Genomic DNA, 17609 nt, shown 5'->3' on the forward strand with positions numbered 1-17609 from the left:
AAATTTTGAGAATAAGGGAAGGAAAAAGGAATGGAAAACAGATGAGATAGAGCTGAATAAAGCCTCCACTTTTGAAGTCAGGTCCAGAAATGAGAAGCAAGCAGGACAGCTCCCCTGGGAGAGGAGACATGCTGAAAGATGGCAAGGTACCAAGGAGAGCATTCATTCATGAGATTTGTACTTAGCTTTCGTGGAGGCATGGGCACTGTGCTGGGCATGGAGGGACAATGGCAAGAAGACAGTGGTGGCCCTGGCCTTCTCAATGGGGGCAATGGCATTGCTATTTGGGGTCTATTTTTCGTCATGCCAGACTGTTGTGTGCTTTGCAGAATTTTAACATCCCTGCCCACCCCCAGCTACCAGATGCCAAAAGTGCCCCTTAGTAATTGTGATAACCAGAAAGATCCTCCCTATTTCCAAATGCCTCTGTAGGCATTAGACTGCCCCCAGTTGAGAACTACTGAACTTGAGCATGATAGTTGCTGTAAGTAACATAGTACACAGCTCTCAGAGGAGTGCAAAGAACCCCAGCAGTGGTAGGAGCCAAAAAGAAGCCTGCCCTGAGACCCTCTTCTCCCTGATGGCATGTGCTGTCTACATCTTTCCCTGACCTGTGGACTCTGAGTCCGAAGAAGACAGGGTCAGCTCTGAGCTGCTGTGGAGATCTCAAAAGTCACTGGATTTAATGGAGTGGTTTAGGGAGTGCATATAATTATTTGAAGAAATAAGGAGAAACTATATGGGGTAGGGATTGGTTAGAAAGAACTCCTAGACATTCCTTGATAGTATGCAAGTTGGCCTAGTACAAGTTAATAGATGTAGAGCTGGCCCACAGCCCCACAAAAGGGGTGTACGTGGCCAAAGACACATCATTGCAGAATTCATGTTATCTGACAACTTTGGGAACCTGGCACACAGTTTTGTCCACTCTAAGCCCTCTTCCTCATTTTTAGGTTGCATGTGATTATTTGGGAGAAGAAGAAGGATGATGAGAAAAAGGGAAACTAACAATTATTGAGCACCTAGCATGGCCAGCCAAAGTACTAAGTATGTCCAAGTATGTTATTAATATATCACAGATACACTGAGTGATTTGTGAGAAGGAGCAGAAGCTTGGGAGTCAGGCACCCCCGGGTTTGAATTCTAGAACTGTGGCAAGTTACTTAATCTCTAAGCCACAGTTTCCTCCTGTGGAAAATGGGGATAAAAAACACTAATAACCCAACTTGCCTGGTTATTATAAGATTTCATAAAATAATAAATTAAAGCACCTGATACCAGAAAAAGACACTTAATAAATGGCAATTATACTAGTATTTGGTTTTCCTAACAACACTGGTAAGAAGGTATTCTCATGGTTCTACAGAGAAAGGAGGAAGACCTGAGACAAGATTAGGGCTGGGGATCTAAAAATATAGTAAAGAAAATCAATCATTTTATTTCAAGTTTCTTATTTATTTACTCAAGGTCCCTTCACCTGGGCTTTTTGAGGAAGAATTCCAGCAGTTGCTGTGACTCTGAATATTGAATATTGGCCCTGGAGAGCCCAGCTCTACTCTGTACTGGCCAAAACCCCTGGGATGGTGGTGGTGGAGGAGTGTTCTAGGTCAAACATATGGACAGGAAAAAATTAGAGAGTGTGCAAAGCAACGTGACCTACTAGTGAGGAGACATAAAACCATACCTTACTTAGATGGCTGGAGTTCCCTAGTATGTTAATAAGGAAGTGTGTTGGAGACCTGGGTTCTTGATAGCTTATGTTTAAATACTTCAAAGAGCTTACACTTGAAATAACTTGATTTGTTTCATTTGATCCCAGTGGGTAGACATGGGGCCAGTGAATATAGGTGACAGGGAAGCGTATTAATGTCCCTTATTGTAACTATGCCTAGAAAATTCTGTAAGGCAGAAAATGGGTCTTACTTTAGTGCCTGTAGCATCAGCACAGGGCCTCCCCAACATGGAGTGCCAAGGAGCACTAGCTGCTATCATCACTATGACCTGTCATCTGATTATTGCCTAGTCTTGGAAAAAGCAGTGGAGTCTGAGAAACTAATTTTTTCTTCATTGGCCCATGTGCGAAATACCTTTGTTAAACAATAAACAAACAAACAACAACAACAACAACAAAAACCAACCATGTCAGCCAGTGCTGAAACTCAGGACAGCTCATCTTTTAAAGTCAAGCAATAGGTTCTTTTCTCCTATCTTCAAAACCTCACAAAAACAAAGCAAAAGCAAAAACAACTGTTTCTATAAGGCTAGAAGGTTGTTTATGTAGTAAACCAAATAGCTATCCCTGAGATGATCTGAAAGCAAAATTTTAAGCTAGCTAAACATTGAGCCTGCTATGAAAGTTCATTCTAACTTCCTTTGACCTTCTTACAGCTGTGGTCCTCAGCATTCTGGTTTGTGGCAAGAAAGCATCGCTTCTCTTCTCCCATTTAGAGGGTCTAATGGCCTTATTTCCTCTGATGGTTTTTAATGAGGAATAAAGCCTTTACTTCACATCAGTTCCAAGCCCAAATTCTTCCCGCCTGATCCCTTAAATGCATGTTGTGATACATCTAGCAGATAAAGCTGATAAACCTGTAAAGTCTGCTGGGCCAGAAAATATAGAAACATCATCAGCTCTCTAGCTTGAGCTCACCAAAATGAATATTCCCCAAATGTAGCCTCTGCACAAAAGCAACTGTCTTAATTGCCTGCCTGTGACCAAGGAAATGTAACTAGAAAATTATATATATAGAACTGCCCTTATTCCTACTTCACATTTTCATTTACTCACTAATGCATTCCAAAAATGTCTATTGAGCCCCAACTACGTGTCAAAAACAGTCTCAAGTATTCAGCAACAATCACGTTTGCTGAGTATTTCCTATGTGACAAGAATGTGCTAAAGACATCATAGGCATTAACTCATGTGATCATCACAGCACCCTCTGAGGTAGGTATTGCTGTTCTCCTTATCTTGTCAATGAGGAAACTAGGACACAAATAAGTTAAGCAAATTTCCCAAGGTCACACAGATAATAAAGGAAAGAATTAGAAGTTTTTTGGGAGATAGTTGTTAGATGAAGGAAGAAATTTAACAATGATGATCAATACTTCCAAGCATTTTCTAGACTTTGATCAAGTATGCAAACCTATTATAGGTAGCAATTGAAGAATAAAAATGTTCTTTGCTGTCAGAAGACCTAGATTCTTCAAAACACACCTTCTGCAACTTGTTAGTGAGCCCTAGCTTTGGTCTACTTCAGCGGATTCCAGACTTCTCAGATCAAGGACCTCCTGTAAGTTTAAAAAATAAACCCATTTTGCACATTACTAATAAGTTAGAAAAATACAAAATAAAAGCTATTTTGAATTCAGTAACATTAAACATTTTTTTTCTTTTTTTCTTGAGGCGGAGTCTTGCTCTGTTGCCCAAGCTGGAGTTCAGTGGCATGATCTCAGCTCACTGCAACCTCTGCCTCCTGGGTTCAAACAATTCCTCTGCCTCAGCCTCCCAAGTAGTTGGGATTACAGGCGTGAGCCACCATGCCCAGCTTTTTTTTTTTTTTTTTTTTTTTTTCATATTTTTAGTAGAGGTGGGGTTTCACCATATTGGCCAGGCCAGTCTCGAACTCCTGACCTTATGATCTGCCCACCTCAGCCTCCCAAAGTGCTGGGATTACAGGAGTGAGCCCCTACACCCAGCCTTAAAATTTATATTTAATCAATGAATGAGTTAATTACTGTAACATAAACGTAACATAACATATACCATAACATATGACTAAATACTAGTCAGTCCAAAAACATTAAGCACTTGACATCTACATACAGACTTTTTGCAATAACTCTACATTACCCTGAAGATCCGTGGAGCTATAGGACTTCAGCCGAATCCTTTACTCTGTCTGAGCTGTAGTTTCCTCATCTCTAAAGTAGGGATAATAAGAGCTGTTATTTCTTCAAAGTATCTGAGAGAATTAATGTGAGACCAGCAAGAATTTGGAGGGCCTCTTGTCCTAGAAAGTACAAACATCATTTAAAATACAGTTCCTGACAAATACAGTTCTGATGCAGTTAAGAAGAGCAGACAGACATGAAAGAATTATTAAGCAGAGCAACCACTAAACTGAACTGTGCCTTCTAGAATCCAGTTCTAAAATGTGATCTGATCATGAAAAGGAGTCTGCTATCACCTTATACACACAGGGGAAATTCAGCTCCTTTAAAAGCTGTCAGAGATTTTTTTTTTTTTTTTTTTGGTGTCAGGAGGGCTACTATCCATGACTGAGACACTTGAAGTGACAGGGATTCACAGATAATTGTCTGGATTTAGATAAAACCCTTGCTTCTGCACTGAGACTGAAGTTGGGAAACAGGGGCGTGCACATATCATGGTAATTAGAGGTGTTTGGTTTGGTTTCGTTTGATTTGAAGCAGCAACTCATTTTTGTCGAATGACTACTATGGCAAGGAGGTTATGCAATTGTCCCCATATTAATATTTAATAATATTCTAATCCAAATGTAATTTAAGGCACATTTATCATGTAAACTGAAACTCACTGTAACTTAACTGGCTCAACCCCCCGCATAATGTCACAATCTTGTAGTTTTACGGCTTGCCTTCACATTTTCAGGAGGAAATTGACTCCAGGGGATGGAATCTTGGAAGAAGTTTCTTGAAGAAGTTTCCCTCATTGATGTTGGCTTGTGGGGAGCAGAATTTACTCCAGCCTCTCCCTTTGGGTTGTTGCATGAAAAAATAAGCCATTTCATCACTGCCAGGGCTCCCAGTTCACAGTGGTAAAGAATATACAACCTGTTAACTTACACGCCTTTCTTTTCCCCACTCCCAGGAAAGCTCCTGGTCCCATGAGTAGGGGAGTTCAGATTAATAATTAAAAGGGGCTAATCGTTTATTGAATATTACTAATTACATGAATTATCACTCTTAATTCCTACCCAAAGAGGGGATGCTATTTTATACCTGTCATACAGATGAAGAAACCGCACAGGTGAACTCCCCATGGTCATGCTGTTAGCAAGCAAGGTGGCTGGGGTTTCATCTCAAGCAGCTGCCCCTAGGACGTGGTTGTAACTGCTCCTGTATACTGTCTTGTGTGTTTGCCCCTAGCTTTCTAGGCTGCCGTTTCACCATGGTTGACATATTTTACATATTTGACAAGAGAACATGGTCCCAATAAACGGAGAGTCAACTGAATGGAAAGGAACAAAGCCGTTGGTTGTGATTTTATATGTGGCATTTGGTGACATGCTGGCAGGGAAAGAACAAGAGGAATGTCGGCAGGCGAGAGATGCTCATCCTTAAAGAAATTCTCAGAGCATGGTACTTAAAATCAGAAGTATCTTTAAAGATCAACTTTACTTTACAGATGAGAAAACAAAGGCTCAGACATTTGCCCACTATAAAAGAGCTGGTATGGCTGACCTGGGTCTCAACCACCCCACCCCACCCTGGTACAAAAAGGAAATACAGTTAAATGTTTCCTTACATCCCTGTCTTCCAGCCATCCTACTCCCCTGTCCAAAGGCAAATTCTATTAGCCAGTCTATTGTATCTTTCTGGAGATATTCTATACATATGAAAAATACACTTTTTTTTTTTTACAAAAATGATAGCACTCTGTAGAATTAAAGTACCTTGGCCTTTTTACTTAACTATACAGGTTGGAGATTGCTCCCTTATCAGAACTTATAAAGCTGCCTCATTTTTTTTCAAGTTAAACAGCTTTATTGAGGTATAATTTACATGATATACAATTCATATGTTTTAAAATATGCAGTGCGATGTGTTTTAGAAAATTTATACAGTTGTGCAACCATCCAAAAATCCAAGTTTGGAATAATTTCATCACTCCAGTAAGTTCCATTATGTCCATTAGCAGCCGATCTTGCTCCCACCCCTGGCCCCAGGAAACCACCAATCTATTTTCTGTCTCTATCGTTTTGTGCTTTTAGAAATTTCTTATAAAGAAAATCATTTGATATTTACTGTGTGTCTGGTTCCTTTAATAATATTGTGTCTGGCTTCTTTCTCTCAGTGTGATGATTTTGAGATTCATCCATTGTTTCATATGTCAATAGTTCCTTTTTATTGTTGAGTAGTATTCCATTGCATAGATAAACCAGCTTTTGCTTATCCACTCACCAATTTATGAGCCTTTGGATTGTTTCCAGTTGGGGGCATTATGAATAATGCTGCAGTGAACATTGCGTGCAAGTCTTCATGGGAACATATGATTTCAGTTTTTGAGAGTAGTTACCCAGGAGTAAAATGGCTGGGTTGTATGGTAAGCATATATTTAACTTTTTAAGAAACTACCAAACTGTTTTGCAAAGAGGTAGTACCCTTTTACATTCCTGCCAGCAACATATGGGAATTTCAGTTTCTCCACGTCCTTACCAATACTTCATATTTTCCATCTTTTTGGTTTTAGACATTTTACTGGGTGTGTAGTGATATCTCATCATGGTTTTAGTTTGCATTTTCGTAATCTAACAATATTGTATATCTTTGATGTGCTGATTTGCCATTTCTATATCTTTTTTAAGTATTTATTCAAAATTTGTGTCCATTTTTAAATTGGGTTGTTTCCCTTAAGAGTTTTAAAATATGTATAAAACAAGTCCTTTATCAGATATTCTTAAAACAAGTCCTTTATCAGATATGTTTCACAAATATTTTCTCCTAGTTTGCCGCTTGTCTTTTTATTTTTATAACGGTATCTTTTTCTTGAAGAGCAAAAGTCTTTAATTTTGATAAAGTCTAATTTATTAATGTTTTCATGTATTTCATGTTTTGCGTCGTAACTAAGAAATCTTTGCCTAAGCCAAAGTTACAAAGATTTTCTCCTGTGTTTCCCTATAGAAATATTAAAGTTCTAACACTTACATTCAGGCCTATGATCTACTCCAAGTTAATACATGTGTATAGTGTGAGATAAGAGCCAAAGTTCATTTTTTCTTTTGTTATGGATATGGAATCGTTTCAGTACCATTTGTTTAAAAGACTATTTTCCCCTCATTGACACCTTTGTCAAATCAATTGAACATATACTGAGAGTCCATTTCTGGACTCTATTATGTTCCCTCATTTAGTAGGTCTGCACAATATTCCATTGTACAGATGCCCTGTACTAATTTAACCAGTCTGTTATTAATGGACAATTGTGCTATTTCTAATTATTTTCTGTCCAAATAATGCTGTGGCAGATACATTGCATTGTAGGTATGTCTTTTTACATCTTATTTATATAGGATAAATTCAAGAGGAGTCAATGTTACATTTTGATAGACATTCACAAATTGCTGTCTGTAGATGTTCTGCTAATTCAGTTACACCAGAAATATCTGAGAGCTCTCTCCAGAACCCCAGAGATAAGTGTGTTAACAAATGTTTCATCTTTGCCGATCAAGTAAATAAAAATTGGTATCTCATAGTTTTAATTTGCTGCTTCTTATTATGAATTAAAATATCTTTTATTTTGTGCATGTTTATAAGCCAACTATATTTCATTTTATGTGAAGTATGTGTTTCATGTCATTTGCTCATTTTTCTGTTTATACTAAGCTCTTTGTGATACATGTTGCAAATGCTTCCTCCATTTTTTGTTTTGTTTGTCTTTTGGCTTTGTTTATTGAGTTTTGGCCCTGCAGAAGCTTTTTATTGTAATGCAATAAAATGCATGATAAATGTTAAGGCCTCTGCGTAAAACTAGAAAGGCCCTTCCTACTCTGCGATTCGAAAAAAAAATATCTCTACAGTTGTTATGTTTTCTTTAAGACTTTTTAAAGCAAAATTTTAAGTTCACAGTATATTTTTATTTTTAACATTTTAAGTCTTTCATCTATCTGGAATTTATTTTAATTTAAAAAATCAAGTAGGAATATAAGTTTATTTTTTTCCCAAATAGCTACCCAGTTGTCCCAATCTCATTAATTACATAATTCAACTTTCTCCGCTGATATACATGTTATTTTTATCATGTACTAAATTCCCATATACATTTTAGTTCACTGATCTGCCATCCATTCATGTGTCAGTACACACACTCAATCCTCTATTCTCTGACTCCAAGTAGCATTCTTTCCTGCGTTACTCACATTCTCAAAACAACACACAGTAAGTGAATGAAGTGCTTTATGAATTGCTAGTAGTAACACTTAAATCTTCTCTCATTTTCTCCCTGCCCCCACTAGCTAACAATATTCAAACTCTTTTTAACATCACTAAGAAAAATATAATTAGGACAGTAAATCTGTTTGGAAGTTTAAGAGATTGAACATCAGATACTACATTCTTGAGTCAAACAATTTGGGGCTAACCCATTGGCTCATAATCTTTTATAACAACCAGTGATTTTGGGTAGGCAGTGTGTGTATGTATACACAAGTGTAAGGTACATGTACCATGTACCTAGCGATAGCACTTCAGCAAACCACTGCTCCTCCCAAAATATCCATATTGCTTGAAGAGCAAATACATTTGGCATTTTATGTCCTAATCCTTCTGAAATGGGATTTTCTCACCATTAAATGTCCTTCCCAACTGCATGTATTAAAGATGTGATGCTGAAATTTCTCTCCTAGGAGACTCAAGGGGGAAAAGAGTCAATGTCAGTCATTCTAAATAGTGGGATGTGTCTGAACATATGGAGGATGTGAAGACACATGGAATGGGACTGCCTTCTGCAAAATGATGCAGTTTTGAGCAGAACTTTGTTACCCACAAAACTGGTGTCTCTATTCCTTCACAAACATCCCCATTTAGATCTGAGGCCCAGGCTGCCACCAGAAGAACTCTCTGCCCCTGGAGACTTCTCCCCAGCCAGAGACAGGTGATTGTGCCATGAAATCACTGGGTGCTAGGAGGGCTGCAGACCATGTTGGAGGAAACGCCTGCTTGCCTGCTGCATCACTGATTGTTTCCTGAATATCAAGAAAGACGATGCTGGGAATAGTCCCTCCTTGCCCAGATCTCTGAAAAGCCAGGTAGGAGGTGAGATTCTGGATATGCCTGCCAGCAACCTTTCAGAACTTTTCACATATTCCTCACCCTAAGAATTCAAATTCTAGCACTTCAGGAATCCTGCCTTTTTTTTTTTTTTTTTTTTTTTGAGACGGAGTCTCGCTCTGTCACCAACCCCGCCTTTATAGATTAAGCATAGAACTCTTTGGTACCCTAAAAATGTTCAATATATAGATTTTTTAGGATAATGCTAGAAGACCCTTCTTTGTACTTAAAAAAGAAAAAAACAACTGAAAAAGTTCTCTGGAAGTAGGGGTGAGAGGAGGAAATTCCACCGTGTCGTGGGAAAGAAAATGCCTGAACTAGAAAAACAGCAAGAAACAAGTGGTGGACACTATGGAGGTAGGCGTTCCATTAAACAGCGCTGAAAACCTGAAATTCCTCATCTCCCTGCACTTTCCATGGAAGGTGGCCAGAGGGCCTCAGTCACGGGAGAGATGCCATGGGCTCCATCCAGGCAGAGGCCCCATTTTGTCCAGGCTTCAGCAAACCAGAGGCGATTCCGGTCCTCTCCCTCGCTCTCTTCCGGCGCTGCTTCCTTCCCCCACCCCTCCAACAATAGTCTCCTCTTGATTTCTGTTCCAAGAGAGAACGGTGAGTCCCCAGTGCAAAGGAAACTCTAAGGATTCTTTCCACAGAGTTTTCTCACTGGGAAGAGGGAGGCGTGTGGACTGGCGTCTCCTCTTTGGCTGTGATGCTGGAGAAGCGGGTCCTCCCTTTCTCCCTGAGGAAGACACAGGGCAGACAGCAAGATTTCTCATCCTTATTCTCAAGCATTCAAAGGAAGAAAGCGGCAGAGTACGTTTTCTTCCTGGAAGAACTCTGCGGTGCCCTAATGTGTGCACTATGGTTTTAAATGTTTTTTTCAAGCTACTGAAAAAAGCTAAACTATTTTTTAGGGTAATCTGCCTGAAATACTCATCACTACCCTCCCTGGGGGCTTCCTTACCCTGAGCCAGCAGCTTGAATAATAAGCAGAGCCTTGGTCCCCTCTTCAGCTTTGTTAGATCTGGGGAAAGGCCTAGAAATCTGCCCCAGGTAACTCTGATGATTGGTGCTCAGAAAGCACCTGAAAATAATACCCTCGCCCTTTCTGAGAGTGCTAGGATCCCATGATATGGAGTTAACTTCATGGGAGAGATCACAGAAATCATGCCTACTGTTGCTCAGAGCTGAATAGATTGGAGACTTGTCCAGTAATGCCACTATTTAATAGGGAGGTATGTTGTCTTGGACAAGGTCAAAGTTAACAAATGGCTTTGTAACTCCTTGGAATAGAGTCCTACATTCCCTGATCAATCTGTGTGCAACAGTCCAAAACCATAAGGCAGTGCTGCTCAGACTTGAATGTGCAACTGGTCACTTGGAGATCTTGTTAAAATGCTGATTCTGATTCAGTTGATCTGCAGTGGAGCTGGGATTTATTCTGCATTTCTAACAAGCTCCTAGGTGGTGCCATGGTGTTGGTCTTTGGACCCCATTTGAAGGCTACTACCTTAAAGGATACATATTTGTTTTAAAGAAATTATTAGCTACAGATGACACTTTTTCCTTATAAGGAAACTGAAAACAAGCAACATTAATTTACTGACCTTGAGCAAATCACGTACTTTCTGTAGTTTATCTGTTAAACAAGGTGGTTGCCTTTCTTCAGCTCTAAGATGAGGAGAATAAGGCACGTACTTGAGAATGGGGTAAGTGAAATGAAGTATCTAAAGTTCTGAGGAGGCCCCAAACCTAGTAATGACTCCTCCATAATTGTTGGCGCTGGTGGTGGCAGTGCCGTTGTTGGTAAATCACTCTCCCATTTAGTATCAGTGGCCATCAAAGAATGAGGTCAGAGTGGGGCCATAATCTATCAAAGGAATATAGGAGAATTGCCCAGTATTCTCTTTGTGTGCCCTGGTACTTGACACTAAAGAGAGATTCTATCAATGTTAATAGAGAGTGCCTTTTCAGTTTCTACTCCAATTAACAGACACCTAGAACCCCAATGTTGTTAAATGTAAAAAGCATCATCCAAAATCCCAACTTTTGTTACTAGGTGTTTAGATTTGCCACTTTAAATTTGCCAAATAAGTATAAAACTGACTCGATCCAGTGGTTTTGGCCTTCTTCAATTGGCTTGAATTAAAGAAAGGAAAGGGTATTGTGCTCAACAAGGGTATCACATTTCTCTCCCTGAATTTACCCCATGGTGTTTTGTCAATTCAGCCCAAGTGGCATTCCTTTAGCTTGGATTCACAGCCTTTGCCTATAACAAACCAGAGAGCTGAACACTTCCTACAAGGCTGGATCCTGGCTCACAGCTCTTTTAGTCAAGGAAAAACAAATGACCGTTCTCTGTCTCGCCAAAAACAATTTGCAAACCCATCATCTGCCCAGAAAATAAATGGAAAATAAAATGCAACAACAGTCTTTTCTGTGTATCTATCTGATAAATGTTAATTTCCCATGAACAAATGGGTGGGGGTGCTTGCCAAGACGACATTTTAATACACATGTAGCAGCCCCATGCACACAACAGCAGAACAAGCCCATATAGTTCCAGTCAATTCAGGTGAGGGATAAATCCATCAAGCTGGCAGTTTGGCATTGTCTAGACTCCAGAAAAGTTTGACTAACTTTTTTTTTTCAAATTAATGGCTTCATTTGGCATTGTATAAAGATAGCATCTTTCATTCTACAGCCCACTGATTCATTAACTCATCTATTTAACAAATATTTATTGTGCATCTATGACAGGCTCTGTGCTATTGTAGGCCCTGGGCAGACAGCAGTGGACAAAACAAAGTCCCTGTCCTCATGCTGCTTCCTTTCTTGTGAACTTATGTATTACACATAACGCTGGATGAAGACATGTTCTTATTCTTTTATGTAAATACCATTGTTTTATGTAAATGTATTTGGTTTTTGAATAGTCTAAAAGAACAGCCTTCATTAGGCTAGTTGTTTCTGAGGGTGCACATTAAAATTATTTGCTGTCTCTATGTTCCTGTCAGAGGGAGATCTGTGTCCATTGCTGCTTTATTTCATTATCCATATAAACATATAAGAAAAAAATGAGTGATTTAGGTAAAAACTCAATCAGGAAATTTAGAACAACTTTTTCTATAAGGTTTATATTTTCCTTATAATTGAAGCATACAATATGACCTGTGAATGCTGATTTTTCAAACACCATTATCAATCTTTTTGCCTTTCTACATCACCATTAAATTAGGGACAAGGATCTAACTTGTAAAATAGGCTCATCACAGCACACGTTGTAAAAAAATAAGAAACAAAACCTTATGAGATAGAATCTACTAATATTTTTTAAAGGGAATAGAAAAAGCTTAGTATCTGTGTTTTTCTTGATTAACAAATACATGCTCACTCTAAGATGCAAATAATATAGAAATGGATAAATCAAAAAGTGCTATTCCACCGGGCGCAGTAGCTCATGCCTGTAATCCCAGCATTTTGGGAGGCCAAGGCAGGTGGATCACTTGAGGTCAGGAGTTCGAGACCAGTGTGACCAACATGGTGAATCCCCATCTCTACTAAAAATACAAAAAATTAGCCAGGCGTGGTGGCGGGCAGCTGTGATCGCAGCTACTCGGGAGGCTGAGACAGGAGAATCACTTGAACCTGGGAGGCGGAGGTTGCAGTGAGCCAAGATTGTGCCACTGTACTCTAGCCTGGGTGACAGAGCCTGACTCTGTCTCAAAAAAAAAGTGCTATTTATATTGATTTATAATGTTTACAGATCTAAGTAATTGATCTTGTGATTTACATATGGTTCTAGAACACTGATCATTATCATCAGATTGCTCAACCGGCTAGGACATTCCTTATTCCATAATACTAATAGCTTCTAAAATAACATTTGATATACTCAGAACTATCTTCTAGAGAGAACATCCAGTGCTGAATAGGAATTCCATTTAAAAGCATGGCTCTTAAAACGAGCATTTACAGTTAATGTTAATGCCATCCAGAAGAAGACGGAGCAAGACACTGACCATCTGTTTTGGAGAATCACAGCATGTCAGCAAAAGGGTCTCACAGATCATCCCATGAAGTGGACAGGGCAGGAGGAGACTATAAACAAGCCCGTAGGTGAATTCTAATACACACACACACACACACACACACACGCACACCTCGAAAATTACTTATTTATCCCATTTTGTCATTTCACAGATGAGAAAATTGAGATCCAAGCAAGTAAAGCAACCTGTCAAGTCATGCATATAGGAAATGCAGAGATTGGATGAGAACAGCAGTGTTCTGACTCCCAATCTGGTCTTTTTCTACTCCACCAAGCCACATGAGAGGGCACCTTTTGCACGTTAGTGCAGAACAACTCAGCTTCGATTTGTCCCTAAGGTTAAGTGTCCAAACATGTCTCTGTTGTTTCACAAGCTCTCAGTCTAACAAAAGGACCTGAATGGCTTTGGTTATTGGTGGTAGATTTTTTGTTATTCTTGCTGTTGTGTGTTTTGCTTTTGGAAAGTGGAGAGAAATTTAACTAAGACCTAAGTAAAAGTATCATTATTACTTGACAAACTAACGGTCATACAGGTTTTAAAGTTTAGAGTGAAAGAAAAATAGCAGTTGGATCAATCAGGCACCACACACACACATGCACACACGCACGCACACACGCACGCACACACACATGCGCGCGCACACACGCGTGCATGCACACACACACGCACACCCATGGTGATATATAGTGTTCTGTTTCTCTGTGTGAAGGTGAGTGGCTCACTGTTACAATGTTTGAGGAGAGAGAACCCCAAGTGTGCTCAGCCCTGGGCAGGAGGAGAATGTGTCACTTTAAGTCCTTTCCTCTTTAGCTGAGTCATGGTACAACCACGATGGTCTCCAAAAAAAGTGTCTCCAGCCCTCCACAACCAGGGAAAAGGTCACCAATAACACAGAGCTCAAGCAGTTGGGGAAGTGGGTGAAAGGGAGAATAAAATGTCCACAATATAACTGAACTCTCTTTGCACGTTCATCTAAGTTGAAAACTTTTATCCCGAGACAAACTTTCCCCTGCATTGAGCTGTGTTGAATACAGCTGCATTCAGTGAAGCTAAATCTGCCATTTCTGCCATTCGTGAAGATGAATATCAATACATTAAACTCTACACTCTTTTATTTTATAAGAATTTAGAATTTAGAATATCTTCACTCAGTGTGTGCCCAACTCTAAAGCTGTGAGGAATAATATCTGCTCTGATAGATCCTTGGTATAGTATTAAGCAAGAATAATGACACAAATTATAGGAGACTCATTCTGTTCTCTGTATTAACAAAATACAGTACTCTTCAGTGTTAATATATGACCCTTAAAAAATATATAACTGACACTGATTGACTCCTACTACTTGCCAAACATTATGTTAAGTGTTTTATGCCGATAGTTGTATTTAATTCTCACAACTCCATTATGTTGACGCAATTTTACATTTGGGGACACTGAGATTTAGAGCAGTTAAGTACCTGCCCCGAGGCCCATAAACAGTAGGCAACGAAGCTGAAATTCAAACCAAAAGTAGTACAACAACAGAGACTGTGCTCTACTCACTCTAATTTGACTCACATCCCAGCACACAGATCTACAGGACACACATCCTAACATAATTTAAAATGTGTATAAGAAATTGTAATTTAGTTATGTGTACAGTTTTGGCAGAAATTAACGAATAAAATACTGTGTGTCTCAAATTCTGGATCACTTCAAACTGGAATTCCCCCAATGATATCACAAAAGAGCCTCTGATGACCCCCAAATAATCACACACTGGAAGTTTCCACAAATGCCAACTCACTCTTTGGCGGTGAGTGAGTAAAGATAGATTGAGTGGTAGTGACTTCGATGAAACTAGTCGATGGCTTTTATTCTTCGGGTAGCTAAAATTCATTTCCCCCAGTATCCAAGAAATATTTTCACAGCAATGACTTAACAACTTAAATGGAAATATTGAATACACTTTTTTCTTTAAAAGAAAACTGCATATCCTCAGCTTCTTAATCTCAAGCCATAGTCATGCTAGCAGTGGGGCTGTTTTCTGAGCCACTGGCCTACCCACCTTGTGCTTTCCTTGTCTTTAATTTAATTGCCTTCCTTGTCTTTAACAAATGACTCTGCTGTCATTTGTTTCCTATTGTGTTGCATCTGATGCTTTTACTCAGTAAACAAAACTAGAATGTGTTCTGTGATGTTGTTTTAGTTGAGCACAAAATTCAATACATTATCAAGAGAAATGAAACTGAAAGGAGCAAGTCAAGATCGCAGACCTGCGTTTTCTTCTGGGGCCACAGTTGCTGATAAATGATGCAATAATGCCCTCGACAATCTATTCCAGCTACCTCTTGATCTGAAGATCTATGGAAATGGAGTAGTTAGGGGAGGTGGTAGGGTAGCAGTAAAACACTTTCAATTGTTATTAGAATAATTTTGCATCCGCAAGCTGGCAAACGCTATTCACGTCTCTTTACATTGCTCGTTTTATGATGCTCCTAAAGAAAATCCTTGAAAAAAGGAGAAGAAAAAAGAGGTCTGACTAATGGAACAAAAGCTACATCACAGTCTAGTTCTGTCATGTTTTCTCATCCTTAGTAAGATGATGGTTCAATTTTGAATAAAGATTAATTACTTGAATGTGGTTAAAGCATAGTCTAGCCAAATTAATTTTTAAAATGAGAGTCCAGCTATTTTTATCTTATTCTTCACATCCCAGGTGATTTCAATCAGTAAATTTCATAGCAGTGAATATTTTTAAAAAGTATGCTTGGCCATTGGCTTTTACCCATTCGGCATCTCTCTGAATTAAAGTATTAATATTGGGAAACATAACGAGTCTCTCGGAGTGACCTTGCTGACCTATTTTTGACAACATGATTTCGGCTCCCTCATGGCTTGCGATGATAGGTGCTGGTAACATTATCCTTTATGACTAATCTAATTGAAGCAAGTTAGACTTTTAAAAACTAGTTGTGTATGTTAGCTTGACTAGCTTGCTACGCCCTATTTGGTGCTTGGAAAACCAGGCACTGGGTGAATGCTTTTCAATTGCGTCTGTAACTTAGTTTTTCCCTCCTACTGACATAAATGATCCATCTTAATCCTCCCATTCTAGCTGCATATTGTTTTCCAAAACTAAAGCTATATGCCCCAAAACCTTTGCCTTCTATCATGTGGCAGATGACATCTTCCACTGACAGTGAATAATAAATTTACACTCAACCCGCATGGGGAACCTGAACACATAAGCTCCCCACATGCAGAACTATTTCCAAGTGACATTCCCTTCTCTCTTTCCCTTCTACTTCAGTGATGCAGAATAACCATCATATAACAATTAACAATCCTCCTTTAGGGGGATGCTGAATGGAAAGAAAAGAACAGGAGAAGGGCACCTCAATCCAGGTAACGTATTAACAAAAACCCCAGAGCAAACCACAGTCCTTAACAGACACCCTGATAAGGCTCCCAGGACACAGTACTGAGGAAGAGCAAATTCTCCAGTGGGACACATCTCACACGCCAGTGGCTCCTGGTTCTCCCAGCCACATGATCTGTGCCAAAATTCAGATTTAACGCAGTGTCCTCTTTAGTCCCAATGTAATTCTATTTCTAGTTTTGCCAGCCTTAGTTCTGCAAAGCATCAGTATTCTCTTACCAAAAAAAAGTATTAGCTGAAATTCTGGGCCATCTATCACTTATACCCTTTGGTTAAGGACTACTCCCAGTAAGGTATTTTCTGTTGAAGATGCCCACAGCAGTATCCACCCAGGAACCTTGAAAAGGAAGCAGAAATGATTGCATGGGTAACTTACCAGCTCCTGAGGTCTGAATGGCTGCAGCAGCCCCACTCCTTTACCTGATCCCTGCTCTCTCTGTCTCTCTCCCTCTCTCTCTCCCTCTTTCTCTTGTGTACAGATTGCAGGGAACTTAAAGAACTCGCAGGGACAGTGTTTCGAATGACTTAAGAAAGAGAACAGGAACAATACTTCGTTCTCTTTTTCTCAGATGAGTACCTTCGGGAAGAAGGAAGGAAGGGAGGGGAGAGGGAGGAAGTCAACAACCCTTTGCTTTCCTGAAAAAAAATAAGGAAACAGAAGATAGACATCTCATTTTCTCTTAAACAAAATGTTGGAAGGGGCAAAAAAAAAAAATCTTTGAAAAAAGGAATTCCTCAAATATGTTCTCTGCCCTGGGAGCTTTAAAGAGATGAAACGCCTTAGTGGCCTGTCCTGTCCAAACAAACGGTGTTCCAGACAGGCAGGCTCTCCTGAGCCTGCAGCCTCTGGTATCTGGTTTGCAGAACTGACACAGCCGAAAGGGAACAAATCATGTCATGTCGACTTAGAGCAAGGGAGAGCTTGGCCTGTTGTGCTAACCAAGGTAAACCTGCAGCCTGTAAGACAGTGTCGGGGCTGGGCAGCCAGGACTCCTGGCTTTTCTTAGGCCCTTTGAAACACCAGCATTGCTGCAATTCCTCGCTGACTCTAGATCCTTAGAGTTTTTCCAGGATCAAATAGCAGATTTATGCCCACCGAACTTT

At 39.6% G+C, this 17609-nt stretch overlaps 1 protein-coding gene across 1 annotated transcript in view; it reads right to left on the reverse strand.

The window, feature by feature from the left end:
- The window catches only part of ZNF366 (zinc finger protein 366), a 67508-nt gene extending 50467 nt beyond the window's left edge, over positions 1–17041 (reverse strand). Inside the window, exon 1 of the mRNA NM_152625.3 lies at positions 16882–17041. The gene's annotated coding sequence lies outside the window, so the exon portion shown is untranslated. The remainder of the gene's footprint in view (positions 1–16881) is intronic.
- Positions 17042–17609: the final 568 nt, after the last annotated feature.

This window comes from Homo sapiens, chromosome 5 (genome assembly GCF_000001405.40).
Source record: "Homo sapiens chromosome 5, GRCh38.p14 Primary Assembly".
Taxonomy (NCBI): domain Eukaryota; kingdom Metazoa; phylum Chordata; class Mammalia; order Primates; family Hominidae; genus Homo; species Homo sapiens.